Below are 19,175 nucleotides of genomic sequence, written 5' to 3' on the forward strand. Positions count from 1 at the left end.
CCACCTGATCCAAAGAGCTGAAATAAAAGTACTATTCTAATTTATGATCTAATCCCACACTCCTGGTCTTTTGGAGTGGGAAGCGTGGGTGTGAAATTTGTATTAAACAAATGGAGAATAGAGGCACAGAGAAATGACTTGCTCTGACCACAGTCACGCAGCTGGGTGGAAGTGGAGGTGTGAGTAGACACCAAGCTGAGGCTCTGTCTTTAAGATCACATTTTGCACAAGTACGTTGCATCCAGAAAAGGCAACCAGAAGATTGGCTCTGGAAGTCAACACGTAGAGGGAAGCCCAAACATGAAGCTCATGCAGTTCAAGACCAGTGACTTAGAAGTTTCATTGCCAAGAGGTTCACTAGCTTCTTCTAGTAGACCTTGGTCATTACAGTTATGTCTGTCTAGCATGCATCCCTACACCCCTTTTCTGGTTGCAGTACCACCTATTTCTTTGGGAGTACTTCTATCCACTCCTTTAGGTTTGATGGAGGGTGTCAGTCACAGAATGCCACCCATTACAGGCCATGTCAAACTCAGTACTCAATCATGTTACCCTGGCAACAGTGACTGATTCAAGAGCTGGGCCCATTACCAAAGATGGAATGATGAGAACCACTTCCCTGTGAGAAAGAAGTCTCTTTCTGCTGGCCTTGTTTGGAAGGGTGTGATTTTGGGGTTTTCAGAGGCCATCTTTCTCACCACAAGGAGCGAGCCAGTCTCTGCAGACTGAAGCCACACACAGAGAGGAGCAGAGCTGAGAGCTGAGAGATGGGGGCGGGGAAGTGGGGAAGGGTGGAGATGGAGATATACATATAGAGATTAGAATATTTATAGACATAATTTGAGCCCTTCTATGGACTTCCCAGCCATGTAAGTCTAGGGTTAAACCAGAGAAGCAGAACCAGTAGAATAATATAGATAGGAGAGGAGGAGAGAGAGAGAGAAGGAGAGAGAGAGAGAGATGGACTTATAAGGAATTGGCTGGCACAATTGTGGCTAAACAAGTCTGAAGTCTGTAGGGCAGGTGTTCTGTGCTGGAAATGCATGGGGGAAAAAAAAGACGCACACACAAGACTTTTTTATTTTTATTTCTATTTTTTAGACGGAGTCTTACTCTGTCACCAGGCTGGAGCTCAGTGGTGCGATGTCAGCTTAGTGCAACCTCCGCCTCCCGGGTTCAAGTGATTCTCCTGCCTCAGCCTCCCAAGTAGCTGGGACTATAGGCGCATGCCACCATGTCCGGCTAATTTTTTGTATTTTAGTAGAGACAGGGTTTCACCATGTTGGTCAGGCTGGTCTCGAACTCCCGACCTCAGGAGATCCACCCGCCTCGGCCTCCCAGAATGCTGGAATTACAGGCATGAGCCACCGCGCCTGGCACACACACAAGACCTTTTAAGGGTGAACAACCTTTATCCCACGTATATGGCAATATAGATATAATAAGCAAATGATATAACAAGCAAATTGCAGTGGAAAGGAGTGAAGGGAAAAGATATGTCCATATATATTTACACCACCAGATTATGGAGGAAGCATCACCAGACTGGGAAGCAACAGCCTGGGCTCCAGAGTGGGCCGCCGGTCCGTGCACAGACGAGGAGAGGTCTCATGGAGCTTCAGTGCGGTCTGGGACCCTAGCTCTTTTGTAATGAATTGTTTGGCATGAGGCCCAGTCACGAGGGCCCTTCGAGACTGGGCTCAAGGGACACAAAAAGGTCTACTTGTTTTTGTGATTGTCTGTTGTTTCTCAGTAACTGACGTACAGGAGCAGATTTCTCTAAAACTTTGCTGGATGAATGCCTCAAGGGGCTCATGCAACCTGTTCCGGGAGTTGGTGACCATTGTTTATGTCCATGTTCAATTGAGTTCAAATTAAATATTTAACTTTTCCTCCACATTCGGCCTCAATTTGATACTCAGTTGTGGATAAAACGTGTAAAGATACATGGGGAAGGCATAGTTGATATAGATTACAGATACAGGGTAAACACAGGAGAATTAAAAGCACAATTAATAAAAACCACACCCACCACGGCCAACGCCAATGCCAGTCGGACAGCCAATTCACGATGGGGTGCCCATGGTTATATTCTAACTGCTTTGTTTTTGCATGTCTTGGGCAAGGAGAGTAATATTGTGAGAATTGTCAGGGATATACACACAACATTCAGCATGCAGTAAGGCGCAAACCCTTCCTTGGGCTGCTGTAAGGATGTGTAATGCCATTTGATTTTGCAACACAACAGTACGCCCCTGAGCAAATTCATCTGATAACAATGTAAGTCCAGTGCTACTAGCATTAAGAGCTTTTTCTACATGCAAGCTTAGTATTTTAATTTGTTGTTGAAGCAGGATTGTACCAGCAGTGATATGGTACCACCACCAGGGAGTCCGGCGCATTTGTAACCAGCAATATTTGTAAGTAACTAGATTACTGGGGAGGGAAATATTATCCCAGATAGTGAATGGAATTAATGGCCACCCCCAAGTGCATCTCCCTGTTCAGTTCGGGGGCAAGTATCACCACCCATAGGATCCGCATACCCAGAGGGCCCCCCAGGGAAGGGGAAGAGTTCTACTACAATCGTATTGCTGTAATGTGTAATTTAAGTAACAAAGGTGCTGTGTTTCACTGGGGGCACTGTTATTGATTTGGAATATGTGCTGACAACTGTCTGGTGGGAGAAACCCCAGAGTGTCATTGGGGAAGCCATTTAAGGCCCCCAAACAAAGGGGGGGCCATAAGGAGTCCAGCTACCAGTATGACAGGTTCCCCGTATACGCTGTTCCAGGCATATCAGGTAGGATACAAAAGCTTTTGACTCATTGCAAGGGTGGATTTCGCCTTTTGTTGAATTTGGGCAAGAATAGACTGTTTAGTTTGGTTAAAAGAAGTTCAGGTTGTACTACAGGTGCTATTCTCCCAACCCCATTGGTAGCGACATAGCCACTTGGAAATATTAGCAGAGATAATATTCTAAGGTAATCCATTCCCTGCAGCCTCTGGCAACTCGACACATACCAGCACTGACTGCGGTTGAGCTCTTTTGCAGCAGTGGCTACCAGGTAATAAATTCATTCTAGGCCTCAGACACAAAGACACAAGACACATCAGTAGATAGGTCATTCCCTGTAATAGCAAAAGTGGAGGGGAACATGATATTGTTTTTTCATATTTAGGAAATTGTACTATGCCTTCATTTTCTGCTCCCATAGCTACAAGGTCACCAGCCTGAGGGGTGGGATCTGATGGACGCTGTACCTATATTTTGGCTCCAGGATTTAAGCCACTAGTACCAGTGGATCTGAATAACCTGGTTCTGTATGTAGCCTCTGTTGGGGCAGAGATTTCCTACAGGGTTAATTGCTGACAAGGTACCACTAACAATTGAGCAACTGGTATCTGCAGTTTTATAGCAAAAGAATCTGGAGTGGTATTGTATAAAATGACCTTTAACTCTCCCCGGTAATCACTGTCAGTTATACCCCCGTGTACTGTAATACCCCGCATTGCAAGACCTGATTGGAATGTAATCCACCCATAATGTTTGCAAGGTATAATACCTATAATAACTCCTAAGCCGGTGGCTACCGTGTATGTACTTTGGGCGGGAATTATCCCAGGCTTTAAACTATATAAGTCCAAACTGGCAGCTCCTCTTGTACTCCTCCATGGGAGTGGGTGGATTTTCCAGCATTTCAGCAAGAGAGGGTGGACTACACCTGCACACTTAGCAATTTGTAAGTGTAGGATAAGCATTTGGCTCAGTGGGGTTTCAGATGTTGTTAATGGCCGATTATTTAAAATTTGTACTATCTCAAACAGGTGATCGTTCCATTTTTTTAACTTACCTTGCCCTAACACCTTTAGCTGTTTTTTCAATAACCCGTTCATTCTTTCGATTAGGCCAGCTGCCTGTGGGTGGCATGGGATGTGGAAAATCCATTCTATGCCATGTTGGGCTGCAAAGGTTTGTACAGCCTTACCTTTGAAATGGGAGCCACTGTCCATTTGAATTTGTATGGGCACACCATAATATAGAATTAGGATGTTTAAGGTTTTAATAGTGTTAGTTTGGTTAGCATTAGCATAAGCGCAGGCTACTAGGAACCCTGAGCAGGTGTCTACAGAAGTACATATGTATTGGCACCCTTTAGAAGTGGCAAAGGACAAGTATAGTCCATTTGCCAAATTTGTCCTGGCATTTTTCCCCTATGAATGTGCCCCAAAACCCTCTGAGGAACTGGCTTAGTTTTTAACTGTTGGCGTGTAGTGCGTTGGGATAAAGTTGTGTGAACCACATCCTTCGGTAATGATATCCCTCTTTGCTGTCCCCAAGCCATGGTTCCCTGGATGCCTAGATGTCCTCACTGGAGATGCACCCATTGCATGAGCGCAGCCCAATCCGGTTCTTCTGGGCCTGAGTCTGCAGTAATAGTGGAAATTTTAGCTTGTTGGTCAGCCTTCTGATTAGTCTGTCAAGAGAAAGCAGAGATGCATGAGCATCAACATGGAAAACGGTGATAATGATAGTGTGCGCCAGGATCCAGATATCTTCCCAGTATTGTTTTCCCCAAACATCTTTATTCCCAATTAACCATTTGTTTTGTTGCCACTGGGGCATCCAAGTAGTGAGACCATTTTCTACTGACCAGGAGTCAGTATACAAGTGACAAATCCTGAATAGCTCCAGCCTCCTCCTGAATAGCTCGGAGGACAGCCACCAGTTCAGCTAGCTGGCTGCTCCCACCCCTTCCTTCAACAGAAATGCTCATGTTTTTAACAGGATTATGAGCCACAGCCTTCCAGCATCGGGTCCCACCAATGTATTTGGCGGATCCTTCAGTAAACCAAATGTGTTTCTGATTCTCTGGGTTTAGTTCTTTAAAGGATTTGCCCCATTGTAGGTGGCGGGAGTGGCGGGGGACGGTGGCTCTTTCCTTATCTGCAGGACTTGCTTGGTGTGTCCTGGGTTGGCAAATTTTGTACATCCTCATGTAAAAACGATAGCCCCTTTGGCCCCAGCTTAGCACCACCTTGTATGTGCCATTTCCATTTGATGATGCAACTTTTTTTGGGTGTGCCCTATTTGGTGATTTTTGGGGAGCTCATGACCCAAGTCATAATAGGAATTTTGGGCCTCATAATGACATCACGGTTGAAGCAGGGGCACTCTGTTTCCAGCAAAGCCCAAGAACAAGCTAACAATTGCTTCTTGAAAGGGGTATAAGTTTTGCCGGCCTCTGACAGTTTCCCGGTCCAAAACCCCAAAGGTACCCTCTTCCCATCTTGTTTCTGCCAAAGACTTCAATTAGCATGTTGATCTAGGACAGTTACTTGCAGTTCTTCTGGCCCATCCTGCATGAGCCATAGATCCAGGGCCAGTTGCACTGCTTGTTTCACATGTGAAAGTCATAGGGTTTTCTAGTGACTGCATGCGGAGGTTGTAAAATGTTACCCAAGTGGGGAATATGATGTCTCCAGAATCCAAACAAGCCAATAAATTTCTGGGCCTCTTTTTTAGTGGTAGGGGTGGCAAATTCTAGTATTTTAGCCTTAACCTTTGGTAAAATGGACTATTTCTCTGCATTCCATAGGACACCAAGGAACTTTACAGTTTGTGCAGGTCCTTGAATCTTACTAGAGTTAATTTCCCATTTTGGAAAAACCCAGTTTGGAGCTGGGTTTTTACCTGCTCCAAACCCCGGCTGACTCGTTCTTCAGTTTCCCCCTGAATTAAAATATCATCAATATAATGACTGATTTGAAGTCCCAAATAATTTAGTTCTGGCCTTGTAGCATCTAAATGCTCAGCAACTTGCCGACGGCAAATGGTGGGGCTATGTACGTACCCTTGAGGCAAGCAAGTAAACTATATTGTCTCCTGTCCCATGTGAAAGCAAATTGGTCCCATATCTGAGGGTTTAAAGGGATGGTAAAGAAGGCATTGGCTAGATCAATTACAGCATACCATGTTCTGGGATGCTGCTGGACCAGTTCAACAATGGTTATTACATCGGGACTGCAGCAGTTAGAGGCAGAGACTTTATTTAAGGCCTGATAATCCATGGTCATATGCCAACTCCCATCAGATTTCCTAACAGGCCAAATAGGATTATTCTACTGAGTGGTGGTGGGCACTAAGACACCCGCCGCTACATAATTCTGAATGGTTTCGGTAATTTCCTTGTGTCCTCCCGGAATATAATATTGCTTCAAATTTATTATTTGAGTGGCAGCAGGAATATCTACCTCGTAATGCAATTTGTCTGTGGTAACTGGGCAGACTAACTTTAAGGACCTGACTTTGAAGGAGTCTTGGCCGTCTCGCAAGTAGAGTTCTCCCTTTTAGGATGTCAATGCCAATAATATATTTGGGGATGGGTACAATCATAACTTTATGTTTTTTTTTCCGTGGCTATTTCCTATTTTCATTTGTATAGCAGAATAGTAGGCAGGAATCTCTTTCCCTCTGAGACCAGAAATGACCACTTTGGGTCCATGAAATGTACTGGGGTTTCCATATATTAGAGTGGCCTCAGCCCCTGTATCAATTAGGGCTTTTAGGGTAGTAATAGTATTGTTTTTCCAATAGATGTTAAGCTTCACATATGGGTGCATATCTATGCACTTTATTTGCAAAGGGGCCTAGCCTTCCTGTCATAGTCCTGCTAAAGAATCCAATAATTCTTGGTAAGAGCCTCCCGATGGCTGGGTTACAGGGGTACTCAATGGAGGCACGCCAGGGGTGACTCCCGGCCCCAAACTAGAGGGCCCACCTGTTGTTATTTGGCGCACATTCCTCACTTTTTGTTGGTATAGTTTCCATAACTCTTTAGCTTCCTTGCCATCAATTTGTTCTCTGGGAACCCCTGCCTTCAATAAATCTGCAAACATATCCTTCTGACTAACCTGAGATTGGTCCCGGGTTTGTCTGCCCCACTCCTTAATCCTCTCCTCCCCACAGGGCATCCGATCCCCCAAGTCCTGTAGCTGACCTAGTTGTTCCAGTACCTCCCGTGTGGGAGTATCTGTATGGGAAAATAATAAAGATGTTAACACCATTCTATAAGCAGGTGGAGCAATCTTTAAAATCTTATTGCGGATTGTAGGACTTAAAGGTGTTGCCTCTATGTTATCAGCCATTCCCAGTACCACAGCTGTTTCCATGGCCTCCTCCTTTAACCGCATAGCATACTCCTTAAGTGTATGCCAGGGCTTTCCCCCATCTGGCCAGGCATCCTCTGTGGAATATTTCTGTCTGGCCACATTGATGGCCAATTGCCACAAAGATATTTCATCTAAAACATTTCCCTCATCATTAGTAGGGTGGGGTGCAGTAGCCCAATTTCGAAGAGCCAGCTGAATTTTGGGTACCCATGAGAGGGTAACAAACTTTAAAACATTCCCTGAGTCCACTCTAATGCCATTGGCACCCTGTTCATTAATTCGAACCAACCAAGTAATTACACTTTCCCCTCCCTTTTGTCGAAAGGTTTGTAAAATGTCTGTTATTTCCTGCTGGGTAAAGTCTTCTACAGCGTCTCTCCAGACCATCTGTCCATTCCGCCCCCACTCTATGGCCCGTGGCCGCCTCTGGGGTCTGGCCTCAGCAGGTTCCCTTTATTCATCAGGGGAGTAAGTGGTCCCTTCTTCATCATCATCCCATATATCTCCATCCCATGTGTCTGGGTCCCACTCAGGGCCTACTCGAGCAAGAGCTACCTGTACCTTCTGCCTATCCACCTTGGCTTGCCTGTTCTTATACTTGTACCAGGCCACCCAGACAGCTGTTTTGTCAGCAATAGCCTGGTAGCTTTGGGCTTGATCAGTCAGGACATAGGCCTGGCATTGGGCCAAAGCCAGCCTAGAAGTTAAGTCAGCATTTTCCTTTTCCAGCTTACTTTTTTATTGTAGCAACCAAGATAGGGATCCTATCTTGACACATTAACTTATAAGCAGTAAGCAAGCACCATCCATGCCAGATCTCCTTGGAATCTCCTTTGCCCACTGGAATCCCCTGCAGCACTTCACGCACAGCCAAAGGTTCAAATTGCACTAATTTAGATTCCCAGTTCTCACAAAGGCCAGTTCCCCTGGACCATTCAATTGCCAAGGGGGAAAACTGGGGGAGTTCCCATCCTGGGATATGGGAAGTCCCTGAGCTTCCATTCCTGTCCTTCCAGCCAAAAAGCGGCATACTTTTGTTTTCGAATCCTGTTCATGATGCCATAAAATGTTCTGTGCAGGAAACGCACGAGGGGAAAAGAAAAGACATACAATACCTTTTAAGAGTAAGCAACCTTTATCCCACGTATATAGCAATACAGATATAACAAGCAAATGATATAAAATGCAAATTGCAGCGGAAAGGGGAGAAGGGAAAAAATATGTATATATATATTTACACTCACCAGACTATGGAGGAAGGATCACTAGACCGGGAAGCAACAATCTGGGTTCCAGAGTCGGCTGCCAGTCTGTGCACAGACGAGGAAAGGTCTCATGGAGCTTCAGCACGGCCTGGGAACCTAGCTCTTTTGTAACGAGTTGTTTGGCATGAGGCCCAGTCATGAGGGCCCTTCATGACTGGGCTCAAGGAACACAAAAAGGTCAACTTGTTTTTGCAGCTGTCCGTTGTTTTTCAATAACTAACGTACAGGAGCAGATTTCTCCGAAACTTTGCTGGATGAATGCCTCAAGGGGCTCATGCAATCTGTTCTGGGGCTTAGTGACCATTGTTTATGTCCACGTTCAATGGAGTTCAAATTTAATATTTAACTTTTCCTCTGCAGCAGGCAGCCGCAAGGGAAGGTCACAGGTAGGCTGGAAGCCCATGGCAAGAGCTGAAGCTTGATGATGTCCTTCAGCTGCAGTCAGGAAGAAAGTTCTAAGGGGAAAGGAGAGCAATTGTTGACCCAGCAGCTACTTGGAGGATCTCCCTCAGAGAAGGCCCATTTTTAAGGAGCTCAAGTCAGGCCCACCCATGATAATCTCCCATTAATTAACTTTTTAATTTTTTTTCTTTTTAAGACAGGGTCATGCTCTGTTCCCAGGCTGGAGTGCGGAGCCACAATCATGGCTCATTGCAGCCTCCATTTCCTGAACTCAAGTGATCCTCTTGCCTCAGCCTCCTGAGTAGCTGAGACTTCAGGCATGTGCTACCACACCCAGCTAATTTAAAAAAAAATTTTTTTTTTGGCAGAGATGAGGTCTTGCCATGTTGCCCAGGTTCCATTGATTAACTTAAAGTCAACTGATTGGGAACTTTGTTTTATTTATTCATTTTTTTGAGACAAGGTCTGGCTCTATCACCCAGGCTGGAGTGCAGTGGCGTGATCTCAGCTCACTGCAACCTCTGCCTCCTGGGCTCAAACCACCCTCTCACTTCAACCTCCCAAGTAGCTGGGACTACAGGCACGCATCACCACACCCAGCTAATTTTTTTTTTTTTTTTGAAGAGACAGGATTTTGCCATGTTGCCCAGGCTGGTCTTGAACTCATGAGCTCAAGCAATCCACCTGCCTCAGCCTCCCAAAGTGCTAGGATTACAGGTGTGAGCCACCACGCCCACCCTGATTGGGAACTTTAAATCACATCTGCAGAATTCCTTCACGGAAACACCCAGATTTGTATTTGATTAGATACCTCAGAGAAGTGTGTGAAAACTACAAAATGGCTGCTGCCTCCCTTCTGCCTTCCAACTCTTGAGCAAGAATATTCCCATTGGCCCAACATAAATGGAAACTAACTAGAAAGGGAATTCTGTGGGCTAGAGTTGAGCCTAGCCAAGTTGATACATCAAAAAGACATTACATCCATACTTTTTTCCCCATAAACTAAATTTGAGTTGTGTTCCATCACTTGGCATGAAAAAGCTTCTGATTCAGTTGCCATTTACTTATTGAGTGCCTTATACGTATTATCTCACTTAATCCTCTTATACACAAATGAGCTAGGTATTATTTACAATTTTGAAGACCGAAGCTCAGAGAGGTTAAAAAACTTTTTCAAAGGCTCAGAGCTTCAAACAAAGTTTGTCTTTCCACTGCTGATGCTATGATGCCAGTCTTTGCCAAAAAGGAACCACCTGGAAGCTCTCTTCCAGGTTGGAATAGGAATTCCTCATGCAGTTTGGAAGCTGACTTCAGCAAATTTTTATTTTAGCTAAAAAATGTCCAAAACTTGATGTACTTTATTCATCTGATGACAGAACAAGGCCAAGAAATATATTTTTATCTTCATGACCCAGTGCTTGGCCCAGATGTATTATTTGGCTGATGTAATGAACTGTTTGGTCTGTTTCCCCTGTTGCGTTTGTGTCTGATTTTTTGAGATGATCATTTAAGGTTTTAACTTTTATTCGGAAGCCTCTTCCTCCCTGAAATACCTTAGATCTTAAACTCTCCTACAAACATCAGCTGCAATCACAATGTCAAGTAGATGCTGTATAAACCTCTTGCAAGAGCGGTAAGGAAAAAAGGAATGTACAGATGAACAATATAAGAAATGAAAGAGGAGACATCATTACAGCTTTGACAGACATTAAAAAGATAAGAGGAAAGTAGAAAAAGTTTTATGCCAACAAATTCCATAACTTCCACGAAATGGACACGTTCCTAGAAAAGGGATACATAGCATGTGAGACATTTTAGCTAGGATCTCAGAGAGTTAAATCTCCCAACTGCCAAATCTAAGGGCACTTTTGGGGTTTTACCTTACCCTTCAGTGAATTTGACACTGCTGACTGCATCCTCCTTAAAATCTTCCTGTTTTGGCTTCCATGAAACACTGTTAGTAGTGTTTCTCCATGTAAACCTCGTTTCCCTCCTTTTTCCTTTCTGCTTAATTACAGAAATTCTGTAACTTTTTTTTTTTTTTTGAGACAGAGTCTCACTCTGTTGCCTAGGCTGAAGTGCAGTGGTGCGACACGGCTCACTGCAGCCTCGACCTCCCCATGCTCAGGTGATCCTCCCACCTCAGCCTCCTGAGTAGCTGGGACTAGAAGTGTGCACCACCACGCCCAGCTAATTTTTGTATTTTTCGTACAGATGGAGTTTTGCCATGTTGCCCAGGCTGGTCTTGAACTCCTGGGCTCAAGTGATCCTCTTGCCTCAGCGTCCCAGTGTTGGGATTACGGGCATGAGCCACTGCGCCCAGCCTCTGTGACTTTTTAAATTCCACATCTGCATACAGGGCTCTAACTACCATTTGTATGCTGATGGCTCCCAAATCTGCAGCCCCAATTGCTTCCTTGATTCTCGATTTGACTCAATATCCAACTTTTATCAAGACAATTATCTATGCTGGCCATTTATCAATGAGTCCCCGCTACCTCTCGGATGTGTTCAGACCCTTCAAACTCATTTCCTCCTTGTCTGCTATTAATACCCAGTTTTCATTTGGGAACTGTCCCTACCCCATTCTCAGTCCTTTTCAGTCAGGAAGAGTCCTCCTCCCCCTCAGCCTCTATATAAGCATGTGACCTGATTTTATCCCCTCCAGCCCATCTTCCACACTGTGAACAAATATATCTCATAATGGTGGTGGTTTTAAAGCCTAGGCCCAAGTCTTTGACACCCCTCCATAGAGAGGCGGGGTGTCCCCCATGAAATCTGGGCAGGCTTGTGACTGCATCGACCAGTAAAGCCCTGCAGAAGTGACACTGTGTGACTTCCAAAGTTAGGGCAGAAAAGTCCAAGTCCACACAGCTTCCACTGGTCCTGCAATGTTCATTCTCTGGGGGCCTCCTCTCAGGAAATTCCCTCTCAGAAGCCAGCTGTCATAGTGTGAAAAGTCCAAGTCACGTGGGGAGGCCATGTGTAGGCGCTTTGCTGACCCATCCTAGTTGACCCAGCTTTCAAGTTACCCCAGTCCAGGCAGGCTGAGATTCCTGAGAATCTTCTCAGAAGTGGATCCTCTAGCCCCAGCTGTTCCAGCTATCAGCCATTTCAGTCTCCCGAGCTGAGGCTCCAGATACAAGGAGCAAAGAAGAATTATCTTGGTGTGCTCTGTCCAAGCTCCTGACCACAGAATTTGTGATCAGAAAAAAATGGTTGTGTTAAGCTGCTAAATTTGGGGGTAATTTGTGACACAGTGATAGTAACTGGAACACTTATGCCACACCCCTGCTTAAAATGTTCCAGTGATTCTGCATCACCACCACCGAGATGAAGTCCAAATTCCTTTGCCATTCAGTACTAGATGCCTGTCCACCCCACCAGATCCATCTCCTGTCTCTGCCCACACAAGCCCTAGTGCCAGCCACACTGCAATTCCTGGAATCATCCCTACTTCCCTGGGCTCCCATGCCTTTGTATATTTTGTTGCTCTGCCTGGATGTCTTTCTGACATCCAAGATATTCAGCAAATCATCTGGAAAACTGGGGGATGCAAATCCACTGACGTCCCTGAAATCCTTTTTCTCCAGGAGGAATGATTGACTGGCCCTAAGACAGTTCAAGTGCTCTGCAAAAGAATATTCACAGAATGTGGGTTATTTTCTAGGTCTCTGAATAAAATACTGGTTATATAGAATTGATTCTGGAGCCAGATTGCCTGCATTCAGCTGCCAGCTCTACCACTGATTAGTGGGGGACTTTGTGCAGCCTGTTTAACTTCTCTGTGCTTCAATTGCCCCATCTGTAAAATGGGGTAATAAATAATCCTTACTTTGTAGAGTTATGGTAAGGATTAAAAGAGTTAAAATGTGTAAAGGGTTTTTAGAATGATGCCTGGCAGAGAGTGCTTGGGTAAATAAGTGTTTGTTGAAAATAAAACAAATCTGCAAATAGTTAACTGTAGTCATTGCTCAAGTCCCTTTGAGTATCGCCTTCTTTGGGACACCTCCCCGAGGCCTCCCCCACGCTAGCTGGCTTCACAGATAGGTCCATGTTGTCGCAGCACCTCCAGCACATCACAGCTGCAACATTCCTCACTGTTTCTGTAAGTCTATCTTTGTAGTTGTCAGTATCTCTCAGCTCATTTCTTAGATTCTTGAAGGCAGAGGCTGGATTTTACTCATTTCTCTCTCCCTGGAATCTAAGTCTTAGTAGGCCTTCAATAATTGTGTATTAAATGGAAGCTTGCTATGATTTTAACCAACACAGTAACTCCAGGCCAGAAAAGGCTAAGCGAGTTCTTCTAAGCCATACAGGTTTTAGTGGCTGAACAAAGACTAAAATTTTTAACCCTGTTCTTCTGACTGCCAAACCTAAGCTAATGACTCGTGTGTGTGTGTATCTGTGTATGTGTACACACGCATGTGTGTGTCCACCAGTATCATCACTAACCCCTGGCCATTTGCTTTTAAAATTATTTTATTCAGAGACTTATACAATAAGTATAAGTATACAATAACCCATGTTCTTTTAGCCTCTTCTGAGACCCTGGGTTGTTTATAATAATAATCACTATTATTCCTGAAGGGAGGCTATTGCACCCTTCCAATTATTCAGACGATTTGCTGACTGTCTGGATAATTCCGAAGCCTTTAACCCCTCCCTAACGTTAGAGGCGGTAACTTTCATCCGTTTACTTTTTCCAGGTGCGGAGGCGAAGCAGCCTTATTCAGAAAATCGAATTCAAACAGGACCTCAAGCTGCCGGCTGTTGCTTCTACCAACTGCCCCATTATTAACGCCAGACGGCGCTGTGTCCTCACTGGCTCTTTAACCACCACGTCGGGCTCACAGAAGGCTCAGGTTTCCTCCAGTATAGTTCAGGGGATGGTGAACGCTTCCCAACAAGCCTGCAACAGGCGCATTTCTTTCTGCTTTTGGTGCGTGTGTGTAGGGAAGTGTCCCATCTTTTAACTAGTCTTGCGGAGACCTGGCCTGGTGTTTGCAAATCTGTTTCCTCTATTATCGATCCGATCTCTGGATTGCTTTTTCTCTGACACTTGAAACAAATTCACTCCTATATATTTTTTAAGTGATTTTTTTTTTTTTTTTTTTTTTTTACAAAATAGAGCTGGGGCGGGGGGGGGGGGGTCTCGCTACGTTGCCCAGGCTGGTTTCGAACTCCTGGGCACAAGTAATTCTCCCACCTTGGCCTCCCAAAGTGGGGAATACAGACGGGAGCCACTGCGCTCGCCCCAAACAAAATCATTTAAATCACAATGCACTGAAGGCCGACTAGGTGTCAGGCGCCGCGCGGTCCGTCCCTTGTCCCCATGTCCCTGGCCAAAGGCTTGCTCTAGATCAGGGGACTCAGCCTCGAGGCTTTCCCGACGGTGTCAGCCAAGCACACACTCCCAGTTCGCAGGGCTTCGTGGTCAAGGTTCCTAGTTCACCTGTCTGGGAGGGCGAGGTGTGTCCACCCCTTCCAGCACCTGGGCAAACAGCTCCCTTTGCGGTCCTCTTCCACTGCTTTCCCTCCGCCCTGATTTTCCATTCCTTGTGAGCGGTGGTTTTGGTTGGGGGGAGGGGGCGGGGAAGGGGCCTGGCGAGGAGGGGCGTCAGAGCGCTGTCACCGGGTGTCGCGCCGCCCTCCCCGCCCCTCCGCCGGGCGTGTGGGGACGCCGGAGGGCGGGAGTCTCCGCGAGCCGCGCGGCGCACGGAGCACGGCGGCCGCCTGAGCTCGGCGCGGAGCCCGGAGCCCGCAGCCGACAGTCTCCTGCTCCCGTACGCTGGGCGCCAGCTCCGGCCGTGCTGCCCGGCTGCCTGAGAGCGCGCCCGGCCATGGAGCCCTCGCACAAAGACGCCGAGACGGCGGCGGCGGCGGCGGCGGTGGCGGCGGCGGACCCCCGGGGGGCGTCCTCGTCCAGCGGGGTGGTGGTGCAGGTCCGCGAGAAGAAGGGCCCCCTGCGCGCCGCCATCCCCTACATGCCCTTCCCCGTGGCCGTCATCTGCCTCTTCCTCAACACTTTCGTGCCGGGACTGGGTAAGACACGGCTGCCGCGACCCTTGCGACCCCCACCCCGCCGCGGGAGGGCGTGGGGGGAGAGAAGGGCGCGGCCGGAGACCTCCTGGCGGGGCCGCGCGCTCCAAGTGCTGCGACCACGCGCCACCGCCCGCTCCTGGCGTCCCCGGGCAGGTGGCAGAAGCGCGTGGAGTGTGCACCCCAGAGGGGAGAGGCTGCGCTGGGGTCTCCGACCCGCAGGCGGGGCCCCAAAGAGCCGGAAACTTTGCGGCCAATGTTGGAGCCCGCAGCGGCGGCCGGAATGGCTCTGCCGGCTTCGGAGTAGGGCTCCCGTCCCGGCGCCCCGATTTCTGCTCCTTCTCTCCGTCGTGTGCATCCGTCCGCGAGCCCACTTCCCCGAGAGGAATGGGGTCGGATCAGAATGAGCTCTAGGGCCTCGGCGGCGAGGATCAAACTCCCGGGCGTCGAAGTCAGCTGAGCCGGGGAAAGAGGACGAGCCGGGCTAGATATACCTGCAGCCCCCTTTGGTTCGCGGAGTGCGGACCGCGTGGGGACGAGAACTCTAGCCAGAGTCTCCTCCGCCTCATTCAGGGGTACCTGCACTTCCGCCAGCACCCCGCAGGGCGCCAGGGGGATGGGGGATGATTTTATTAGTTTGGATGCATGTGGCCAGAGATGAACCCATAGCTCCCTCGGATCCCTTCTGTTCCTGAGAAGTAGAGAGTGCGCCGATGTAATTCTGTGCAGGACTCCGGCAGCCGGCAGGGGTTCTGGTGGCATCTATGTCCCACGTTTTAAAGCAGAGGCCCCTTACAGAGATGGTGCAGGAGGGTGAATGGAGGCAGGGAATGAGAAGTTTTCCTGACCCTCCCTCCCTTAACTCCACCCCCAGGTCTCTGCCTGCACGCCCCTCCCCTCCTCCAGCTTGGCACTGGCTGCTCCTGCGTGCTGGGAGGTGCCCCCCTCTCCCGTGCCCGCCCGAAGAACCAGGCGCCCCAGTGCCCTCTCCGGGAGAAAGCGTGCCCCTGTCGGCGAGCCTGTTGCCAACGTATGGTTCCAAGTTCCCAAGAGCAGAGGCCAGCTGGAAGGGGTTTTCAGTTTGACTTTGGCCTTTCTCACGGTCTCCTCGCTCTTCGCCTGCTTAGCAGGGGCCTCTGCTGCGGTGACAGCCAAGGCCACAGCCACCCACGCAGGACCCGTTCACTTTCCCCTCCGAGCTTACTTGTCTTTCTACCCTAAGGGGCTGCTGCGGCCAGAGCAGCCTATCTGAGCAGTAAGTTAGGTGGCCTTTAGTTGGGCTTCTCTCTTCTGGGGTGCCTCCAGCAGCCTGTCCCCCTGGCTGGTGTCATCAGATCAGCTCTCTTTGCACATTTAGACACTGCAAGGAGGCCAGCTGGTGTTAATCTAGTTTTATCAGAAATTCTCACCTGCTGGAGTAAAAAGAGACTGCCTGCCCCTCCCTCTGGCGGATATGAAGATCCTCCTGAGCCAGCATGCATCTTGATCCACCTTTTTTTTTTTTTTTAAGTGGTGAGGTAAACGCCACCCTATGGTCTTTTGAGGAAACAAATGCATTGGTGCCAGGTGAGAGGGGCTGCACCAAGTCACTGCTGCACGAGGAAACCACCTTGTGGGAGACCAGCCCCAGGAGACAGCAGCTGCCCACGCATGTACCTGTGTGTACCCTCCCTGGTCTCCCTTCACTAGGTGCCTTTCCCAGCCTTAGCCCTGCTGCATTGACAGCATCGGCTGCAGGGCACCGTCCATTCCGCTGACCCCTGGCTCCTTGCCCTGGGGATCCAGCTTTTCCCTTTGTGAGATCAGAATCCTATGGGATTTTTGTGAAACAAACAAATAAACAAACAAACAAAACAAACCATTATAAGAAACCAGGAGAAAATAAAGGGAAGATATGCAAACCACAAAAGTAATAAAACAGGTGAGCTGTAGGTGCACAGATTTCTGAATTTTCAGTGACATAATCCTGGCTTTTTTTTTTTTAATTTTGCTTTGGTTGCTATTGTACAGTTTACTGGGTGCACAGGCTCCTGCTCCTCTCCACACGGAATGAGGGATTCCTGATCCTTGGTGGTGGTTCTCATCTGTAAGTCAGGCACACCTGTCTCTTGGCGTTGCTGAGAGGATGAAACGTGATTACATAAAGCCCAGCGTCTGGTGCATAGGAAGCTCTCTGGGGATGGTGGGTCCATCTTGCTCTTCTGCAGAGCTGAGCACTGGTCCCATCTCTGGGTGGGGGTCGCTGCAGCCAGGGCAGCACTGCCCTCTGGACCACTCAGAAGCAAAGGCTCTTTGAGTGCTTTTGATCCCTCTGCTCCCCTCTCCACCTGCAGTGGAGTCCCAGGCAACAAAGCAGCTCAGACCAATCTTGCAGGTGGTTTTATTGCCCCCCTTCCCCAGGAGTGGTTTAAATGGCCCCAGCTCTTGGAAATCTGCCACTTGGCCCAGATCCACTTCTCCAAGGCCTCCTGGCTTATCTGAAGCTCCCGGGACAACTGAATATTCATGGCTGATTCTGCTCTTTGATGAAATGCAGCTTCTTTCAATTCACTCATTCATTTGACCAACACAGGCACCTACCACATGCCAGGCATTGACTGGGGTTGTGATGATGAATAAATCAGTCAGGATGTCATAGACTGCTGAGGAAAATTGAGGCCAACTTTGTCTGAATTTGATAAGTGCTAGGATGGCAGCAGGAACAGAGTGTTGTAGCAGAAATTCTTCCTGGGGGCGAAGGAAGGGGGCTCAGAGAAAGCCTCCCTGAGGGAGTAGTGTTAGGTTAGAACTTGCTGAGAAAATCTATCACGTGTCCTCAGCACTTGCCATCCTCACTAAACTCCCATTCTGGAAACTGCCCAGACCACTGGCCCAAAGATCTTTTCTTTTTTTCTGGAAACTTCCTTCCCTGCAAGTCCTCTCCTGGATTGCAGATTGGATGAGAGGGCAGTTTTTGCTGAATGAAGGCTCGTTTTTTATTTTTATTTTTTCCCTTTGATGTAGGTGTCTCAGGTCCATCCAGTCTGCAGGACCAGCTGTGGAGAAGCCCCATCCTTAAAATTCCCCAGTGCCTTCTCCACCCAAGCAACAGTGCTCTCGGGATAACACTCATATCATGAGTGGGATGTGCTGTCTCCTAGGGAGTGGCTGGAAAGGAGAAGTGATTTATGATCACTCCAACTCCTCACTGAAACAATGAAAAACAATTTTTACAAGTGGACATTAGTAAAGAGAGTCACCTCTAGTCCTATTCAGTGAAACTCTACTAATAAAGACCACCGTTGGTACCTTCATGTTCCAACAATTAGGGTGTTTATAAGTATATACACGATTATTCATACCTGTAATGAAAGTTCATTGTTATGCCCCAACATGGCCAGAGAGTTTGTCTAGTGGTCAGGGGTATAATTATACTTTTATATTTAAAAATTATATCTATCTTGATTTGGTGAAACGAAAATGTTGATATCTCAGTGACACGGAAAGTCGAAGGGAGGAGGACCTCCATTGACCTTTAACCACTCCATTGGACTCAGGACATCAGATAGGGACAATTTATCCCTAACACACTGCCTACTCTTTGATGCTGCTAAAGTCTTGCTTGCTCAATAAAAGCACCACAGGCTGGCTCTGCTTCTTCTCTCTCTCTTTCCTCTAGACCCAAGGCTCAAACTGATGATTAATCATGTCCTACCTCCTGGCATCTTTTGTATCATAGATTTTTTGTTGCTGTTTTGAGACTTTATTCTTTGTCTATCTGAGTAGATCTTAAACTCCTGGGGAGCAGCAACTATTTTAAATGTCTTCTTGAAAGAGCATGTTATCCACAAATACATATAGACTAGAATTATACTCCTGGAATAGGCATTAGAGATCATCTGGTCCAAAGCCTTTATTCAATATAAAAGTGAAGTAGGCCTGAGGATGCAAGGACCAAGGAAGTTTACAGCCTACTAAACCTTTTGAAGGAAGTTCCTGAAGATGTTTTTCAACAAAGTAAGGGAGTAAACCAAGAAAGGAGATATGAGATTCAGGAAACAGTGAATCCTATACAGAGTAGCCATGAAAAGCCACCCTGGGATGAAATTGTTCAACAGAATGAGAGAGTAGTTACTTTTCATTAGAGTGGAAGGAAAGAGGTCTCCGAAGGTGACATGAGAGAAGGACATTCTAGAGAGTAGAGAGTATTATTAGGACACTGCAAAAAATTAAGGTTGTAATGAAAAGCAGAAAGCAAGCCAAAAAAACCACCCAAACAAAACAGAAAGCAATTAGTAATTGCAGTAAAGACAA

The 19,175-nt window shown here is 47.3% G+C and overlaps 1 protein-coding gene and 1 long non-coding RNA gene across 3 annotated transcripts in view, besides 2 other annotated features; one reads left to right on the top strand and one right to left on the bottom strand.

The window, feature by feature from the left end:
• Positions 1-1,071: 1,071 nt before the first annotated feature.
• On the bottom strand, positions 1,072-8,518 carry LOC105373116 (uncharacterized). Its single transcript, XR_949222.3, has 3 exons — positions 8,418-8,518; positions 6,916-7,034; positions 1,072-4,478 (listed from the first exon to the last, which is right to left on the bottom strand). It is a non-coding gene; the product is annotated as an uncharacterized LOC105373116 (long non-coding RNA).
• Positions 8,587-8,881: an enhancer, noted in NCBI's record as "tiled region #7345; K562 Activating non-DNase unmatched - State 21:Repr". NCBI's record gives its function as "activates a minimal TATA promoter and a strong SV40 promoter by Sharpr-MPRA in K562 cells {active_cell/tissue: K562}" and the evidence as "EXISTENCE:reporter gene assay evidence [ECO:0000049][PMID:27701403]".
• Positions 13,527-13,821: a silencer, noted in NCBI's record as "tiled region #13952; K562 Repressive DNase unmatched - State 12:CtcfO". NCBI's record gives its function as "represses a minimal TATA promoter and a strong SV40 promoter by Sharpr-MPRA in K562 cells {active_cell/tissue: K562}" and the evidence as "EXISTENCE:reporter gene assay evidence [ECO:0000049][PMID:27701403]".
• STUM (stum, mechanosensory transduction mediator homolog) overlaps positions 14,543-19,175 on the top strand; it is a 60,467-nt gene continuing 55,834 nt past the window's right edge. For both annotated transcript variants that reach the window (NM_001003665.4, NM_001410930.1), the window contains exon 1: positions 14,543-14,885. In NM_001003665.4, the coding sequence (NP_001003665.1) occupies positions 14,684-14,885 (202 nt within the window). In that variant the 5' untranslated portion in view covers positions 14,543-14,683. The remainder of the gene's footprint in view (positions 14,886-19,175) is intronic.

The sequence above is a fragment of the Homo sapiens genome, chromosome 1 (assembly GCF_000001405.40).
Source record: "Homo sapiens chromosome 1, GRCh38.p14 Primary Assembly".
NCBI lineage: Eukaryota > Metazoa > Chordata > Mammalia > Primates > Hominidae > Homo > Homo sapiens.